We start from the raw sequence: 20,624 nt of genomic DNA, 5'->3' as shown, positions 1-20,624 counted from the left end.
ACCTTTCTTTAGCCATTGGCTATAGGTCATAACTTATAAGTCATTGGACAGGCAATGGATTGGCTGTCCTCCAGTCAGGTGTCCCACCCTGATGCAGTTAGCATATGGATCCTGTGGCATAAACTAGGGACCTATCCCCTAGAAACTATACCAAGAGCCAGGTCTGTGACATGACTGTCCCCTAAGCCTTCTGCCCACGTATAGCCCATCACTGTCGAAATACATGATGCAAAAAGGTGCTACCTGATTGGGAATGCCAGCTACTCCATAACCTCAGCCTTCCACTTAAACTTCTCATGCGGAGAACTGAAGAAATAACTTGCTCATCAGGATGCATTAAAACAGAAAGATGGAACCCAGAATATTTGCTAACTTCCGCTCTGTTCCAACCACTTAAATGAACAACTTTTATTTTTCTAAATAACCATAAACGGGCCACAGAATATTTGTTCAATATACATATTCACAGGGTGTTCTTCATACCCCTTATTTGCTGGAAATCAATTCTTAGGCAATTTCAGGTTAACTGTTTAGCCTTACAGTCTTTTTAGATGCTACTCCTTCATTTTTCATTTTCCAGTTGCTTCTAAGGCATCAATAAAAGTGACCCTGCCCTGGGCAAAAACTTCCCAGCAGCATGACCCACTCACTCCATGCTGTCATTCATCTAGCCGACATCTACTGAGCTCCTATTGTGGGGTAGCCTAGTGTGGAGACTTGGTCAGAGAAGGTTCAGCTAGAAAAGTTAGGAGAAAAGCCCAGGGCCCCAGAAATCATGGGCAAACTGTCAGAGACACTTCCCTCACCTTGGCCATCACTTGGAAGCCTTAACTGCCATGTAAATCTCGACCAACAGGTTATCTCCTACCAGAAGCAGAAGAGATGTCAAAACCATGAACATTTTTCCTAATGACTTTTTTTGCAAAGATATCATGTGGCAACCTGGGACTTGAGCTGGCGACCTTGCTCTTCAAAATCTCTATTTCACTATTTCAATTACACAGGCAGAAAAAAGTAAGTGATATTTTTCCTAAGATTATGACACATATCAGCCCTGAGTAGAAACAGTGTCTCCATGCCCAATTTCCCTTACGTGCTAGCAATTCTATCAGTTTGCTCTGACAGGGGTTAACTCGGTTACATGTGATCTCCTGAGACACAGTTCACATCCTTTGACCACTCATTTAGTGGGGATTTGTTTTCTCTTCCCTGATTAATAACTACAGAGAGCCATGTCCCCAAACCAAGCCACATTCTGAAACATTTTTATTGGTCTACACTTAAAGCCACAAGTCACTTTTTATTTATTTATATATTTATGTATTTATGAGATGGAGTCTCTGTTGCCCAGGCTGGAGTGCAGTGGCACGATCTCGGCTCACTGCAACCTTTGCCTCCTAGGTTCAGATGATTCTCCTGCCTCAGCCTCCCAAGCAGCTGGGATTACAGGCGCCCACAATCACACCCGGCAAATTCTTGTATTTTTAGTAGAGATGGGGTTTCACCATGTTGGCCAGGCGGGCCTCGAACTCCTGACCTCAGGTGATCCCAAAGTGCTGGGATTACAGGTGTGAGCCACCACACCCGGCCTAAGCCACAAGTCATTTTTATCCAGTGTACGTATTAGCCAAATCTTTGTGGAAGCTGCTTGTTTGTTTTTCTCGAATATTCTGGGAAATTCCAGTCTGGTGTAGGGTAATGAAGGCGAGGTTAACAACTGCTTTCCTAACACTCAGCACTCAACCGCACCTCCAAATCTTGTCATAGGCTGCTTAGGCAGGGGCAAAATTGTTTCTTTGCAAGAAACAGTCTTCCAAGATCAGTGATGCACGAAGTACTTCGATTTGAAAGGAGTGAAAGAAAGGAGAAGACAGCAAAGGAAAAGGAAGCTTCGAGATAGCACAGAAACCCAGACTGGAGGGCCGTGAAGCTGAGAACATTTTTGAAGTTGTTCGCAAATGCTGCATCTACCCTTGACAGGTCATTTCATTCCACTTAGCACTTTTTATTCACTGTGGTTTATAAGCTCTTAAGCAAATGTAGAAGGAAGGAAAATCTAACATATCTGGTAGTATAGTATATCAGACTGACAATCCAACTGAATTTCCCCTGCATTGTGAGCAAGACACTTCCAAAGAGAAATTATACAAAAAGAAAAGAGAAGGAGGATTACAGAGATCATGGCTTCACATTGATTTTCAGAGAAGACCTGAGTTGATTTCTGTTTAGCTCAGTGGTACACCAGTTGGAACATGGTGCCTGGCGATGCTGCACTGTAACATGATCTGTGCTATAAATAGCTGCCAAATAGCCATGTGGCGGCTGGCAGCATGCTACGTGCTGTGATGAGAGCGACCCGTTTCAAAGGGAAGCCACATAAGACAAGGGCAAGTAAAGCTGAGGTGCAGGGGAGCAGTTTTTCATTATCTTGCTGTGTTTTCCTTTTTAAATGTATTAAAGTGTATTCCTCACTTTAAAAAGGCACTAATTGAATTAGGATTTTTTTTTTGATTGGCCAACATTTAGAAACACATCCATGTAACTTGTGGGATGATTTATCTTCTTTGGTGGTCTGTTTTCTCCAAAAGGGACATGATATTACTATTGCGACCCGCTCCCTCAAGTTTTCCCAGCTCTGATCATGCTCCTGGGCAATCTTAGACATGCAGAAGCAGTAAGATGTAAGAAGTCCCTAAGATGAGTGGAGGAATGAGGAAAATATAATTAGTGCTGAAGAAACTGTATCCAGTGACTTCGGAATAGTAAGGTCAGAAATCTTGGATCAGAAGCCCTAAAAACATGGTACGGCAATTCAAAACTAGAATAATAATAATAGTAATAGTTGATAACATTTATTGAGCACTTATTTTGTGTCAGATACTTTTGCAAACACGTTGCATGAACATTTTCATTGTCCCTGCTTCATGGATGAGGAGACTGAGGCATTGGAACTTTACACAATTGCTCAACACCACACTGCCAATGGTGGAAGTCGGATCCCAGCCCTGGCCATCTCTCACTCTCCAGGGACCTCTCTCTAAACCACAATAGCCCCCACCGCCGCTCTAATGAACATCGATTGGGAACTTTGTTAAAAAAAAAAAAAAAAAAAAGCCAGCTGCAGACTGTACGCTGCACTGGGGCTTTGCCCAGTTATTTTGCTTGGAGGAAAGTGAAGAGCCTCAGTAACTTACCCGAGGGCATCCGGGTAGGCTTCAGATGCAGAAGTTTTCTCTCTACCACATACCTGGATGCCCTCATAAATGTTGTGAGTCATGGCACCATGAGATACCCATGGTCCCATTTAATGGTTCAAGCCCAAGCACTAAATCTCAGTGAGTGGCCAGTGGAGAATTTAAAAGTGGCTGACTTTATGCAATTCAGTTGTTAATTCATGCAACTAACTCAACATGTAGCCTCAAGCAATTGTTCCATTTTTCATTCAAAAGTGTTCAAAACATCTTCTCTCTGCTATTAGGAAGAAACCAGTTGGTATCATGGAGAGAACATGGAGACTAAACACCTGGAAGTTCACCTCCAGTGCTTTTTGGCTGTGTGGCCTTGGGCGAGTTACCTATTCTTTTAGTTTCAGTTGCCTCAACTCTCCAATGGGACTGACACCACCAGACAAAGTAAGAGAAGCTACTGGCATGTAGAAATGCTCAAACATCACAATCACTGCCACTGTGAATCTTCTCTTGACTTTCATTCAGTGGCAATTTAGGGAGCACATTTTATTGTTCTTACAGGATTTCAATTGTCCACAATTATTTAACTCACAATAATGTTGGGTGGATAGTCACTATTATTCCTCTGCTTTTAAATGTGGTCACCTGGAAAACAGCAAAGTGACTCAAAAACTCAATGGGGTTTCTAAGGCCAAAGACTCAAACACTGACCATGTCTGTGTGTCTGAGCTATGCTGGCTTGGCTATGATTCAAAGAGTCTCAATAATACTGGAAATATTTAAAGACACGAAAAATGTTAAAACAATACAATTAGGTAAAAAACTAAGTTTAGGAAACTTTGCTCTGTATTACCTGCTTCTTGTTACCTATTAGAACTATTAACACCACTTGACTCTGAGGGCAGAATTGTAGGTAAAAGTTATTTCTTCCTTTCTGTTCCTTTGTCCTTTTTGAATTGTCTAATTAATATTTATTACTTTTGTAAAGAAAAACAGCTTGGAAAATTAAAATATTTCTTTAACATCTTCTTTTTCTGTCCTGTTGTGTCTTCCAATAGGCAATAACAGACCTTAGATACCATGTGTTTTTCTAAAAGCTTGATAGGTACTGAAGTTTTTGCCTTTGAGGCTCATCATTTCATGATTAAAACAACATAAAATAACATGTTATAAAGCAACAATGTTATGAAAGCAATTTGGAATATATTTGTATTAGTCCCTTCTCACACTCCTATAAAGAAATACCTGAGACTGGGAAATTGATAAAGAAAAGAGGATTAACTGGCTCACAGTTCCTCATGCTGCACAGGAAGCATGGCTAGGGAAGCCTCAGGAAACTTTCAATCATGGCAGAAGGCGAAAGGGAAGCAGATACATCTTTTTTTTGTTTTGTTTTGTTTTCAGACAGAGTCTTGCTCTGTCACCAGGCTGGAGTGCTGTGGTGTGATCTCGGCTCACTGCAACCTCCACCTCCTGGGTTCAAGTGATTCCCCTGCCTCAGCCTCCTGAATAGCTGGACTACAAATGCACACCACCACCATGCCTGGCTAATTTTTTTTGTATTTTAGTAGACACGGGGTTTCACTGTGTTGGCCAGGATGGTCTCAATTTCCTGACCTTGTGATCTGCCCACCTCGGCCTCCCAAAGTGCTGGGATTACAGGCATGAGCCACCACGCCTGGCCAGCAGGTACATCTTACATGGCCAGAGCAGAAGGAAGAGAGAGAAGGGGAAGGTGCTTCACACTTTTAAACAACCAAATCTTGAGAGAACTCACTATCATGAGAACAGCAAAGAGGAAGTCCACTCCCATGGTCCAAACACCTCCCACCAGACTCCTCCTCCAACACTGGGGATTATGATTCGACATGAGATTTGGGCAGGGACACAAATCCAAACCATGTCAAAATGTTGCTCTCCACAAACAATCACTGAGGACAGGTAAAATTATTAACTATTATAAACTGGTGAAGATGCTGAAGATCAGTCAAAAACCGCAGTATCTATCAGCATAAGATATAGTCATTTACTGTGATGTAGTCAACTGAGCCAGGCATAGACAGTGGTAAAAACAACTCTTCTCCCACGTCACCTCTTAAGAATCAAATCCCCTGCTTTTATTAATAAAAAATTCAATACAGGAATTGTTTAGAGTCCAAATGGAGCCCATTTTTAAAACCCTCTTTCTGAATCTTTTATTTCACACCTCTCTTTCATAAGCTGCACTTTCCTTTTATCTTAAAGCATTTTTCTGGCTCAAAAATGGATAACTTCAATGATGTGGAATCTATTAACAAGTCCAATGTTCTAGTGCAATATTATGATACGCCTTTTGATTGGCCCTAGACAGAAAGCTGAGTATTCCCATTAAACCAGTGGATGGCTTTTGGACAGTCACTGGGATTCTTCCAGATAGGAACAAAACTAAACTAATGTTGAGAATGTGCTATTGACATTGCTTCACTTTCTTTCTAAGGCCTAATTTGAATGGGTTTACATATCTCCTTTAAAAGTTAATGTAAGCATATCTCCTTGAGGATGCATTATGTGCTATTTTCTTTCAGTGAATGGAACTGTTTAAGAAGGACAGAACTGGCTGGGCATGGTGGCTCACGCCTGTAATCCTAGCACTTTGGGAGGCCGAGGTGGGCGGATCACGAGGTCAGGAGTTTGAGACCAGCCTGGCCAACATAGTGAAACCCCGTCTCTACTAAAAAAATACAAAAAATTAGCTGGGCTTGGTGGTGGGCACCTGTAATCCCAGCTACTTGGGAGCTGAGGCAGGAGAATCGCTTGAACCCAGGAGGCGGAGGTTGCAGTCAGCTGAGATCACACCACAGCACTCCAGCCCAGGCGACAGTTTGAGACTCCATCAAAAAAATAAAAATAAAAAATAAAGGAAGAACTCTTGAATCTAGTGTTGAAAACATGCTATTGAAATACACTTCACATTTTTTCTAAGATATTAAAAACCAAATGCCATCAGAAATACATAAGAAATTTCCTTCTCAAATGCTTATCTAGAAAATCAAGTCAGGGGAACATTTAACTTCACTAGCAAGATGGAACCTTCCAGATGTACACTAACATCCTGACAGACTGAGATGCTGTCATTTTCTATTACTGCTCACAGTGTTAAAAGACCTACCTTTCAACTGTGTTGACTCTTGGGGATCTTATTTTTGTGCTTTGAGGATGAGCAGTGAAGACTATTGATTTGACTTGTAAAAGGTGACCCCAACACCTGATGCTGGAACTAGTACATACTAAGTGAACAATAGGGATTTTGTTTGGTTGGTTGGTTCTTCTTCTTTCTTCTTTCTTTCTTCTTTCTTCTTCTTCTTTTGTCAAATTGAATGTACTGAGTGCTTTCTACATTCTGGGTGTTTACTTTGAGGTGAGGCAGGCACCACCGTCCCTCCACACATACGCTGGCAGGCTCCACACTCCACTTTTTTCATGGCCCTCTTCACACCATCCACTTCTTTGTACAAACTAATTTTCAAAGTACACACACTTGCCCTTGTTTTCCCGGGTCTTCAGAATGCTTTATTTTGATCCCACATTCCCTTCTACCCATTTCCATGGTTCTGCTCTGCTTCAAAGACAGTCAGCTTTTAGAAGTTGCACAACAACCTTTTCCACTCTCTTACCTCCTGTTAACTCTTTAAATCAATCACATCTGGCTTCCATTCCCGCCCCTATACCAAAACTTCTGTAGTCACCATCACCAACCACCTCCACACTTCCATCTCCAAAGATCACCTTTTTTCCTTGTCCTACTCATCCCCTCAGCACCACTGGTAAATATAAAAACTCAGTCGCTTCTCGAAACATCGTCCTTCTGGGTTTCCTCGATATCACACTTCCCATTAATTCTTCATTGTCTATTTCTGACTTCTCCGCAGGCTCAGTCTTCCACTTGTCCTCCCCTGTTTGGTTCTCCAGTGCACAGAGGATCAACCTCTCTAGCTCTCCTCCTCAGGGGTCTAATCTTTGCCATGGCTTTACATGTTGTGACTCCCCAGTGTGCATCTCCAGGCCCACATTGCTCCTCTGAACTAACTGCCTAATCTAACTGTTTTTAAATATTTATTGACATATAATAGTTGCACATATTTTGGGGGTATACTTGATGTTTTGATGCCTGTATACAATGTGCAATTATCATATCAGGGTAATAGGGACATCCATCTCCTTAAACATTTATCTTAAGTGTTGCATTTTTTTTTTTTTTTTGAGACAGAGTCTTGCTCTGTTGCCCAGGTTGGAGTGCAGTGGAGCGATCTCAGCTCACTGCAAGCTCTGCCTCCCGGGTTCACGCCATTCTCCTTCCTCAGCCTCCCGAGTAGCTGGGACTACAGGCACCTGCCACCATGCCCGGCTAATTTTTTGTATTTTTAGTAGAGACGGGATTTCACCATGTTAGCCAGGGTGGTCTCGATCTCCTGACCACGTGATCTGCCCGCCTCAGCCTCCATTTTTAAATAGGATGATCATGGGATGTTTTCCTGAGAAGGTAACTTTTGAACAAAGGCCTAAAGGAGATGAGAGACTGAGTGGGGACCACTGTATTAGGCCACTCTTGCCCTGCTATAAAGAAATACCCGAGACTGTGTGATTTATAAAGAAAAGAGATTTAATTGCCTCACGGTTCTGTAAGCTGAAAAGGAAGCATGGCACTGGCATTTGCTCAGCTTCTAGGGAGAACTCAGGGAACTTTTACTCATGGCAGAAGGCAAAGAGGGAGCAGGCATGTCACATGGCTGAGCGGGAGCAAGAGAGAGTAGGGGAGGAAGTGTCACACACTTAATCAATTACAACTCGTGAGAACTCACTCAGTATGGCAAGGATAGCACCAAGCCATGAAGGATCCACCCTCATGACCCAAACACCTCCCACAAAGCCCCACCTCCAACATTGGGGATTATAATTCAACATGAGATGTGGGGACAAATACTCAAACTATATCAACCACTGTATGCACTTGTGCAGGTCATAGTAGCCTAATTTTAAAGATTTCAATTATGAAAACATAATGCAGGCTACACATTATGTTCAAGGGTGTTGAGTCTGGAGTGCACCTTGGCATGTCTGAGGCACAGAATGAGAGTGGGGAAAAGTAGTAAATGAGTTGGAGAAGTAAGTAAAGGGGTCAGCTTCTACAGTGTCCTGTGGCCACTGCAGGACTTTGAGAAATCCAACTCTTTATCAGGGTTGAAACGTGGACATGTCACAGGCATCTCAAACATGACACCATGAACATGAACCATGGATTCCTCTCTCCCTCAAGCCTGTTCTCCTCCTGCCTTCTCCATCCACCCATTTGCTTAAGCTAGAAATCTGAAGTCATTCTTGCTTCTTCCCTGTCCTCAACCTCTATCTAATTCACAGCAAGTCCTTTCAACTTTTTCCCTCAAAATATACTATAATGAGGCAAGGGCTTGGAATGATTGGACCCTTCCTGCTTCTCCAACTTCATCACAAAGCTCCCTGCTTCAATGGCCAGCCACACAAGCTGCCTTGCCATTTCTAGAACATGTCAAGTTCTTTTCCATTTTCAGGCGTTTTCTTCCACTTGCTCCCTTCTCCCTGAAATCCTTTTGTTTCCACTTTTTACCCAGTTAGCCCCTTTATGTATTTTGTGTATTGGAATAGTCAGAATTCTTGCCTTAGAAAGAATTTCTCTTATTATCCAACAAGCATAGTTTCATCTCTCATTATGTCTGTTATGCATTTTTCCCTAGAGGATTTATCACAATTGATAAAGTCAAAGTTATTTTTCTCACTTGTCTGTTCTCTATATCCCTTGCTTGAATCTCAGTTTGAAGAATAAAAAGACCATGTCTGTTTTGTTCAATAATATGTATCTAACATCTAGTGCCATTTGTGACTAGTAGCATGTATGCAATTACTGTTTGTTGAATAAACTAGTGAACGTCTCAGATGAAGAAACTGAGTCAAAGTGAAGTAGAATGATTTGGCAAATTGCAAGTTTAAAATCAAGGACTTGAAATCAACTCTCCAAACACAGGCTCATCACATTCCACACAACACCCTAGGAACCTCCCTTCAGGGGACCCAAATAAGGAGCTGACAGGGAACCAATCAGTATAATCTTCTGCAAGGGGATTGAAAGAATAAACCAACTAAGACATGTGGCTTTAGAAAGAAATCATTTTGCCCAAAAAGGTTTATAACTATTAAATAAATACTTATTGACAGCTATCGATTGCCAGTTGGTGTGCAGAACATGTTCAAAGACACAATCATGGCCACTGGCATTTACAGGGAAAACATGACTAGTTCATTTTATATGCAACACCACATATGCTCTGGATCCAAGGAAGAGAAGGCCGTGGTAGCACTTGTTATTTGCCCCAATCCTCACTCACCAGTGCAACAAGCATGCAATAGCAGAAAGATAAAATATGCCCTCCTTTCCAGCAAAACTTAAGAGTTTGGGAATGCCTGAGACAGATATTTGGATATGTGTATATGCACATATAATATAATGTAAGCATTTCTTCTACGCGTTCATGTATACACTTTACATACATACACATACATTATGTGTATATATGTGTGCATGCATGTGTAATCAGACATATAGAGGCAGGCGTGTATGTATTCTATATGCATACACACAGACATATGTATATAGTTTTATCCAAATCCATATATACATATACATGCATACCACAGACATATATATACATATACATGCCTAGGTATGTGGTTATAGGTACACATAGACAAGTTAATCCGACTTTCTACTTCACATATCTTTCAGATAGTTACATATACCCACAAAAGTTTTTGAGAAAAATTTCCCTTGAATTTTCGGGGGATGAAAACAATACATCAAATTTTCTTACAGTGCCTTTATATATGCTAGACCAAAATATGAGGCAATAAGCATTATTCTTTACACATCACTCTTTGGTAGTATTTGTTGTTTAAATATCTGTTCATTTAGGTCGTTTTTAACATCAATACTCTGTGTAAGCATTGGTAAATTTTTTAACAGTGGCAGTCTCTCTTTAGAATTAATGGGGAAAAATGCTAAGAAAAGAAAAAATGAATTGTCATATAAAAAGACAACTATCCTACATTTTCAGTGAATTATGTCACTGTAATTCCTAGACGTCCAGAAGAATGAGAATATTAAAATCTTTGCTGCATGTGCACTTATTTTATCCCAGTGAGCCCTCTCCTTCCCTAAATTATCTGCAAAATATTCAGAATCCGTGCAGGATGCCAATTATTTCAACCATGCTTATTTCATAAACCCAAGGTAAACTATCCTGTCATTTCAGTGAACTAGGAAAACCATCATCATTTGAAGAATCCAAATCGTTCTAATTTAGTTACTTATATAGACAATGTATAGATATAGAGAGTATCTATCTATATAGAGATCAATTTAACTGTATAATTTAGAGATAGATAGATAGATAGATAGATAGATAGATAGATAGGATTAAATAGAATTATTAGATATATCATATGACTCCTTACATCTAGAAGCAGATCATTTATAAAGTTCAACCGTCCAATTGCCCCTTCAATTTTTCAGTCATAGCTGAATCCTATGGGCAGGAGGGATGATCTTTCAAAAAGCTGAGTGGGTCTCCTCGGGCATCTCCATTGTCGTTCCAGACTTGCTGTCTCTGATACATCCCACTCTCACAGGCTAGTCCAGGTTTGTCTCACTGATCTGAAGATGGAGCCCCTAACGCTTGCTCTGGGGAGTTAGTTCAGAAAGTCTAATCTGTAACTGGATGTTTTCCTTTCTTTCTTTCCTATCTTCCCTGCTAACCAAATTAAATGTCCCTTTGCTAACTTTATGCTTATTATAATACGAAAGATACTATATCCCCATCCTCCTTGGTTTTCAACATATCTAAGGTATTGTCATCCTACATTCTTATTGGAATTTCCCCACCTACCCTTGATCATCACTGAGGAAATGTCTCCATATATTTAACTCCTTCATACAATCAATAAAAATGTAGTTTTCTGTTTCATCTCTTGTTTATGAGTTTCCACTTCTGGTGGAGTCCCAAAAAAATCAAATCTGGTTTTGATTTAGCTCATCTTATATTTTCTTCAATGTAACCCCATCACCATTGGTCTTTCTCACAATTCCACCGACCTTCAGACATATCCAGCCAATTTTACTGGTATCCAATATCTGCCTAACACCTCTGACATTCTAAGTCTCTTTGTAAGTCCAACATGGTTACTTTTAAGAAAATAGAAATCAAATTACGTGTTGAACTGAATAAACCACCATCCATTGAGTGAAACAGTTAAAGTGGCACTCAGGGAAACAACAATAATAGATTGCTGTTCCCAAAGATAACTGATTTTTTTTTAACTTGCTTAGCTCAAATATATTGATTTATACCATTCAATGTATCTCTTTCTACCCAAACATATAATACACATGCACACTTACATACACACAAATATACACAGACATGCACCCATATATATTGATGATAGACAGATAAATAGATGAATAATTACCAACACTGACACTTCCTCCAATATATTCCTTTATAATTCCATTTAATCTTCAAATTTAATAAATATATTTATAGATTAGTAATAAAAATGACTAAATGAATACTAACAACACACTTGATATTACTTTTTTTAGAAAGCCCTACCATCAACCCTCAAATTGTACACGATCATTAAACTTCTCTGTGTAGTCTCTCCAGCCAATTCCAATGTATGTGCAATCATCCACCTGAGTGAATTAAACCAGCTGAACAAATACAATATGGAGAGATGATAGCTTTCACCAAGTCCAAGAGCATAACTCACTGCCCTTTTTATTCACTCTTTCTAAAAGTGTAACTGAAAAGATATCCTTGATAAATTGAAACTTTATGATGCAAAATCAACATTTTTCAAAAAGATTCTAACACAGTTTAAAGGCTTCTAAAAATTAATAAATACAACCAATAGAGAAATAAACATAACATGGACATTTGGCAACACAGTATCTCAAATCAGATATAAGGTTGCTACAATAATGTACTATATAACTCTGCCATTTTTAAGTATATTTCACTCATTGACATAGCAATCACAACTCTCCTTCATTCCTTCAGAGGGTTGCTGGTAAATTGATCAAGAAATGTGCTTGAAATGTATTTGATTGATGCATTACAACTATAAAATAGTTCCAAAGTGCAAATCTGTGTAAAAGTGTCATACACATCAGCTATTCAGCCAATTGTCATATAAAAAATATATGGTAGCCACTTAAGTGTACTATAAAGTGAGGATAACCATCTGAAATTTATAAATATTCAAGCCTTTGCCGAAAGCAGCTTGTATGTGAAACTTAAATGGCATACAGTACACCAGAAAAAGGCTCCATTCCAAAGTACTACAAAAAAGAATTGTATTTACAGATGACATGAACTAATCAGATACATCCAACATCGTCTGGAAAACTTAATGGCATGCCATAACTTAATATCACAGTCAACATGCACAACAGACCTCATAATTATTTTTTCTAATAACAAAGCCAAAAGCAAAGAAGTAAATGAAGCAATATAAAAATGAAACAGTGAAAGACAAAGGGAAGTACCACAAAAACGTTTCAATGATATCACTGAAATGACTTGAGAAACCAGTTAGGCCTCTGGAGCTTTATTATTATTATTATTATTATTATTATTATTATTATTGGCAAGTCCTGTCATGAAAATGCCCTGAAGATTCAGACCTTTGCAATTTTTCCAAAGCTCCTTCCCACTGGAACAAGTCTTAATGGAAAAGCACAAGATGTACAGAGAAGACTGGGATCACCTCTCCCACGGCATTGGAAGAGCTGATGAAAAGGAGCAGTTCCTCTATCCCAGAGCATCTTCTGGGTGGTGACTTTTTTTGCCTGTGGGCCATGCCTCTCTGTCCTCACAACAGCTGCAGAATGAAACACCGCACCTCCAACAAAGCTCACATACCCTGCCGAGCTCCCCTGCGATGGAGGCTTCCAGAATGCAAATACGAGCTAGGCATCTCAGATGGATTTGATTTCAATCAACATTAGTGCCAAATGAACATCTTTGATATGCAAAATGTCTATGCTACTGAATAATACAGAATCATCTTTCCCCACAAAAACTTTCTTCTAGGAGGTTAAAGGAAATAGTCGATCTGTAAATGTTAATATATCTATTGTAAAGATGAAGAAATTGAGGGACAGTAATTAAAGGAATCAAATGATCAGAAGAACTGGAACCCATAACATCTTGGGGAAAGTTAATATTTTATGGTCTTTAATAAAGCAGGGCTATTATAATCCTCATATGGAAGTACGTTGAAAGTTTATATCTAAAAAATATTAAAATCACATTTTATCAATAAATTTTCACATGCTGAATGATAGCAATATAATTTTTAAATGAGAATTTTAAAATATCAAATAGAATTATGGACCAAGCGGAAATGCTTGGTTTTTACATATTTTAAACAATATTACATTATACAATTAACTCACTTTAAGTTCATAAAAATTCAATCTACGTTATACATAATTTGGTATGCAGATTTGCTAGTTTTAAATGTAGTTTAAAGTTTATGTAAGCATGCACAATTAAGTGAATAAAACTAGGTAACCAAACCACTGTTGGTGAAAAAGCAAGATAAGTACATGCTCTCAGTCTTGTTTGTTGTGGCCCATTTTAACTGGTGAGTACATGGCTCCCACTAATTAGAACAACTGCTGTCTATTTTTAAATTCATTTGCTCACAAGAGCCAGTGAATGTGTATGTGGATATTATCTGTGTGGGCAAGAAACAAAATAAATTCTCTGACAACCTTGCCCATTCTTAATTATTCTTCAAGGATTTTTTTTAATTAGCAGAAGTGAATGCCAAGGAGACTTTAAGCCAAATCTATCGAGATTTTCCCCATGTCATGGTATTAAGCTATTATCAGGCCTTTGCGACCTGCATGAACTCTAACATGTTCAATGAAAGGGAGACCTGTTTACCTATTCCCTAAAGAACTAGGTCCTTGACAGCACTTAGACAAGATAGAGGCTTGCTGGTGTCTGGAGAGATTCTAGGACCTTCTTACTGAAGAAAATTTTAGTAAAATGATTAATTTGAATAGCAACTAAAAAGTTATATCTACTAACTTTATGCTGGGATCAATGAAACAAAATGGAAAAAAAGTATTCCTTGTTTTAAAATCTCTCAAGAAAATACTTGTGGCAACAGTTGATTTAGTGATGTATCTGAATATGCCATCCAACAACCAGAAATAGTAATCCAGCTAGCAAAGAAAAAAATATCCCAGCTGGGGCCAGGAAAAATGACCAGCCATACAGAACAGAAGGGGTGAAATCCAGGCAGTCCTTCATTTTCATGTTTCGGTAGCTTTCCATGTCAGCCACTGCCTGGACCCAGATGACATACAGCATCACCACCAATGAAAATAGGATGCCTGAGAAGGATGAAACAGAAGACTGTTAGCCTTTCTGAAGATGTTTTCTCAAGAACGCTATCTAAACCAATCATTGACCGGATGACAAGCTCCTGCAAATACATTTCTAGCAAAATCAAATACTCTACGTCAGACCTTTTATTATGTACTTTATAGATATTTCTTTTATCTTTCATCTTCAAAGCATTGAGAGGAGGGCTATAGTAGCCTAAGAACAGCAATCACTGACAGGTATTTATTGAGTGTTTCCTGGGTGCCAAGGACTGTAGTAAGTGCTTGTGAACATTAGTGAATATCTCAGCACTTGTAGAATTTATATTCTAACTTTTTTTTTTCTTTTTTACTGCACAAATGGTTTGGGATGAGCACTATACTATGTTATTTCTTTCAATACATAGAATAAACATTGAAATAGGTACACTTACCACCTGGTTTTAGATATACACAGACACAGACAGTGGTTTTCAGAGCTGATTTTCAGCCCGGGTCTTTCTGACTCTTGTTATACTATTATAACCCAGCTAACTAATGCTGCAATTAAATATGGTTATACAAATAGAAACCAAAGTAAGCACTAGACAAGAACGGAGATGAAAACACTGAACAAACATAAAAGAATATACGTGATTCTTCAGAATCTAAATATATATATATATATATACACACTAAAGATTGATTACAGCATAGAGAAAACATTGTCTTGAATAAATGAGGGAGGAAGATTGATGATAAAAGATTTTGTGTAATATAAAATCATGGATTAGAGATCAACAGCCATATTAAATGAAAGAAAAAAAGAAAGAGAGAGAATGAAGGAAGGGAGGAAGGGAGGAAGGAAGGAAGGAGGGACAGAGGGAGGGAAATAACAAATGCCTAACCACTAACTAGAGGGCAACATCCCAATTTAGCAACAATTACAACGTAACTGTAATCCACTGGTTCCAAACACTCTTGGAATTAGATGAAGTATTACAGTTTTGGACCCATGACCTTAACAAGTGACAGAAAAGCTCTGTGAATCCTGAAACTGGAGAATACCACTAAGCATGTCCTTTCCCATGTAACTGTTACCGTAATTGCCAGAAGGAAACAATGCCACTACGCTGAGCAGCAGGCTCCAGGGTCCGCTGGGCAGAGTCACCAGTAAGCAACAGGCTCCATACACAAACCGCACACACAGCCTGATGGATTCAAATTTGTCCTAAAGCAAAATCTACTTGAGAGCACTTGTTATTTGTCCAAAATTTCAATCCAAACATGCCAAGGATCTATTACACTCATTGAATTAATGAGTTGAACTGTTAGGTATAAAATCTCCATAGTCTAATTGCTAGAATGTCTGAAAGCTAAATGCAAGTCTGAGACTAGGAGCAGAGACTGAGGCATATTGGCAGAGAGTAGCTTTTAAGAGCCCAGTCATCAATTACATTTCTCACGTTAATTGTGGTCCTACAGCATTTAGGATGCCCTCTCTCTCCTGGGCCATCAATTTCATAAAGAATCTTGAAAAGTAAACACAAAAGAAGAAGGGCTCATAAATATGTTGTGGTGTGTCAGTATCGGAGTTTAAACTTCCTTGTAATCATGACACAAGCTACAGAGCAATGAAGAATCAAATAGATGCTTCGCTAATAAGAAACATCCTTCACACCGTGGTCTGTAATATAAATGCAAATATTGGCTCACAGAGTAGAGCAATATAGCCACTGAGAAACAACTAATCACAGAGAAATAGTAAAGCCACAGCCTGCAAGCAAACTCCTTACAACGCCATACCTCAGATTTTGACAACAATATGGCAATTCCATGTGTTGTCTAGCAACTCTGTGCATTTCAATACATTTTCCAGCAAATATATAGACAGTGTTGCCTGTTGATGTAAAGGTTTGGCTTAGGCATTTGCATAATATCATTTGCCTTATGCAAACACCTTGCAAAACTTTGTATTATTTGCTGATATGGTTTTTATCTTCCTTGCATCATGTGACTCTCTTGTGCTTTCAGATATTTTAATGGAAAAAGGAAATTGCCTTTGTGAAAAACTAGTAGCCTTAAATTTATCTTTTCAAAAATTGAAAAACCCATCACTGAACTTTGAGTATTAGGAAAATGTATTGCAGGTAATCAGGTAGATGATTTTTAATAGGAAAGAATTAACTTATATTTAAATATTGTCATTATTTGAAGGGAAATTCCATTTAAAAGAAGGAAAAGTAGTCATTTCTATCACTATAGTCTTTAACTTGTTCACTAATTGAAGATACTGTCCATTTAATTTGTATCAGATCAGTTTATATCTCACCCATGGGGTAAACCAGTGTGTGTGTGTGTGTGTGTGTGTGTGTGTGTGTGTGTGTGTGTGTACATGTGTAGACAAAGAGAGAGAGAGAGAGACAGACAATGAGAAGGAATTTACACCAAAGGCCAATGGTTTAGTGGATATGGAAGCAAGAATTAATCATGGCAGCCTGCATGAGACATGTGGTCAAGAGAGGAAACAGAAGGACACTGTATTCAGGTAGACTGATCAAATAAGTGAATGGCCAATGGGAGCCATGTTTCTGACTGCCAGGAAATAGTTACAAATTTGAAAAGGAGGAAAGCTAAAATAAACCCTACAGTGATTAGAATTTGATTAGAATTGGATATATCAGTGTGACTTCATGGTTTTTCACTGATAGATAATACAGAAATAAATATAGAAGTAAATGTGTGTGTGCATGTTTTAAAATACACATGTGTATATATACCTAGATATATTTTGTGGCTCTCTTTCTTGAGAGCATCTGGCAACACCAACATCCAGTCGCATAGAGTATACCAAGTGTCCAGATCTTGATGCCTAAACACCATGAAACCGGGATTCTCAAAGAAATTGTTGAATCCAGGCTGGGGCATAAAATACAAGATGAACCTGGAAAATCTTGTTACCCCAGAAAGTAAAGATGTGTTCAAAGAATGACAGGGGTGTTTTGGAAGCCAGCTTGATGGGGCCTCCCATAGCTTAAACTAAGACAATCTGATCACAAAATGAATAATGATAGTGGTACATTATTTCCCATTGAATAAAATAGGAACTCACAGTGATATAAATAAATGAGTGAATAAATGAATAGGGAAAGGGAAGCTTTTCCTTACAACAGAACACTAACTTATAAGTGTAGAGGGATGGCAGAATTAGAAATCACCATTTGACAATCACTTAAAAATAATTCGGAGAAGAAATAAAAATGAATGCTAAATCCAGTGGATAAAATTGAATGAAACAGAGTATATTTACATAAGTTCAAAATCTCTTCCAATAAAATGCTTATTAATTTTGACGGAGAAAATAGTAACCTCATACTACAGAAACCCAGCAAATATTGCCTTATTCAAGTAATCAAAGTTAACATCACCAGTGACATGACAAATTGATATCACACATCACTTGATGGGATGCAGTGAGAATCACACAGCATCAATGCTATGATCTTAGAGCCAAAAATACAGAGCCTAAACTCAATCATTAAAGAAAAAAATCAAACTCAAATTCAAGACCTTTCTACAAAAATCACAGGCCTGTACTTTTTTCAAAAGTGTCAAGGTTATGAAGCACAAAAATGGACTTAACTCTGGTTTAATGGAGACTCAAGCAACAACTAAATACAAAGCATGATTTAGAATTTTTTTTTTTTTTTTTTTTTTTTGCTATAGAGGACATTAATGGAATAGTTAGAAAAACTTGAACGGAGTCTTTAGGTAAAAGGATTTACAACATCTGTATTTTGATTAGGTAAAAGGATTTACAACATCTATATTTTGATATCTCAGGACTTTTAAAAACATAAACAATAACTGGCTTGAATAACAATGAGTTACAAACCTACTTGCCACAGTGACTTTAGCAAGAATAGAAAATACTGCAATATATAGATAGTAAATTGTTTTAAAATAAAATTACATTTAAATTTGGTCATACATTTGGAAAGCACACATTTATTTCCAATTGAATTTTATAATACCTATTTTTTGAAGTCCAGAAAATATATAAAATATTTCACTGGAGGCAGAATCAAAACCCAGCCCCGAATCCATGAAGATTTGTGACCACAGTGAAACTGCAGAAAGATAATTGAGTCACACCAAGAACATGTTGGATCTCTTGTTATTGGCAGTATGTGAAACAATGATTGAAACGTATAATTTTGCATGGGTTCTCTTACAAAACTTTGCCCTTTAAATGCCGTGAATTCAATTTGGAAAGCATGTTTTCTCTTTCTGAAACAAAGGGCACGTAAAATTTAGTGACAAATGGCCATTGGGAATGCAATTGCTGATGATAACACTATGGAAACAATCACAGTATGGAAACAAAACAGATTCCCCCAAGACCAAGTCAAAAACTGAGACATAAAATTGTATATCCTCACTGTTTCACAAACACAAGAGTGAAAAATGGAGGCATATTCTAAAGATCTTTTCACTATACCGTAAGAACCAGATTTAAAAACAAATCCATAGAAGAGAAAAATTTAGCCCGAGAAATGAAAACTTTTTTCCTAAAAAAGTTAGGCAAAGTATCAAACTGCTTTATTATTGTCTAGAAGCACATATACTCTTACATGTATTTTTTTTTAAAAAGAGAGTGTTTTGGATTATTTAAAAATGACAGACTTGATCTTTCACTTCTTAGATGTAACTCGACTGCCTTTAAATGGGCTTTCACAACTTGAGTCATGAGCAGTTATAGGTTACTTGGGGAAGAATCATAAATTCGAGATGATTCAATGGCCTCCTTTAGTCATGCTTCCACACAAATGCAGAGGCAACTCATTTCAGTTTTCCATGGGCATAAGAAAAGCCATAGAACTGCACAGTCAAAACACTCATTATGAAGTTAAGGTGAAAAGTAAACTAGAATCAGAAAACAAAATCGTCCTTTTTCTACGTAAAGGCTGCACACACTCTAAAGGTAGTGCAATATTTAGCAGGGCATCTACATAGAATTAGAAAGTAAACATCATAAAATGTTAAGGATGATAGCATCGGCTTCCTCATTGTGGCTATTTTCAACAGAGGATGGAAATGAGGATTGCTGTCACTTATTTGTCCACCAAGGTCAAACGTTGAGCCTGTGGAATAACTCAGACTGAACCCTGAGAGCACGAGTCTCATAGGTTAAGCTGAAAACATTCCCAAACATTCTGCAACAGGGAAAATGTTTCCAGGAAGCAGTGGGGGACTAGGTTACTTTTCTAGGTGGAGCTGCCTAGAAGGCAGCAGGTCACATTTGTGCTAAGTATAGAATCAAAGAAAAAATCTGGGGCCTGGGTAAGTGTGCTAAGGATAGCAGCATTCATGAAACGGTGAATTTAGAGCAGACATGTCCAGAAGAAAGAACAAAAAAGAAATTTGATAAGCTATGTATTTACTGTAATTTTTGAAGAAGAAACGAAGCAATTCTTCAAGGGAGATACTGGGAATGCCTTCTGCAGATCTGCACAGGGACACTGAATACCCTGACTGACCATACCCCTACAAAAGGCTTTTGCAGAAAATACATAAAACATCTTCATATAAACATTTCTTAAATCAGCCCATACCTAAAGTTTGAAGATATGATATTAAACTGCCATAGTCTGAAGGTTTTCCTAATGGGCAAAAGTATTCCAGGTTTATTGTTCCTCTTTCTCATTCTTTTAATTTACATATACTTTACATAGAGTAAAATGTACAGATTTCAAGTGTAAGATTTGATGGGTTTTGACAAATGTAAACATCAGTGTAGCCACAACCAATTAAAAATAGAATGTATGCATCACTCAAAGAGGTTCTTTATGCCTCTTCACTCTCCTACCCAAAGCATCTATCACTATAGCTCAGTTTTGTCCTTAGAACGTCATTATAAATGGAATCATAGCAGTATACAGTCTTTTGTTTGGGAATGTTTTTACTCAACATAATGCCTGAGAATG

The 20,624-nt window shown here is 38.2% G+C and overlaps 1 protein-coding gene across 9 annotated transcripts in view; it reads right to left on the bottom strand.

The window, feature by feature from the left end:
• TMEM182 (transmembrane protein 182) overlaps positions 1–20,624 on the bottom strand; it is a 106,904-nt gene that overhangs the window by 14,424 nt on the left and 71,856 nt on the right. For 6 of the 9 annotated variants that reach the window (NM_001321343.2, NM_001321344.2, NM_001321345.2 and 3 more), the window contains one exon: positions 11,736–14,667. The exons of the other annotated variants lie outside the window; for them this stretch is intronic. In NM_001321343.2, the coding sequence (NP_001308272.2) occupies positions 14,447–14,667 (221 nt within the window). In that variant the 3' untranslated portion in view covers positions 11,736–14,446. Of the gene's footprint in view, positions 1–11,735; positions 14,668–20,624 lie in introns of those variants that run through there. 9 annotated transcript variants of the gene reach the window in all.

The sequence above is a fragment of the Homo sapiens genome, chromosome 2 (assembly GCF_000001405.40).
Source record: "Homo sapiens chromosome 2, GRCh38.p14 Primary Assembly".
NCBI classification, from domain to species: domain Eukaryota; kingdom Metazoa; phylum Chordata; class Mammalia; order Primates; family Hominidae; genus Homo; species Homo sapiens.
The sequence above is the reverse complement of the archived record's forward strand: the minus strand, read 5'-3'. Positions and strand labels throughout refer to the sequence as shown.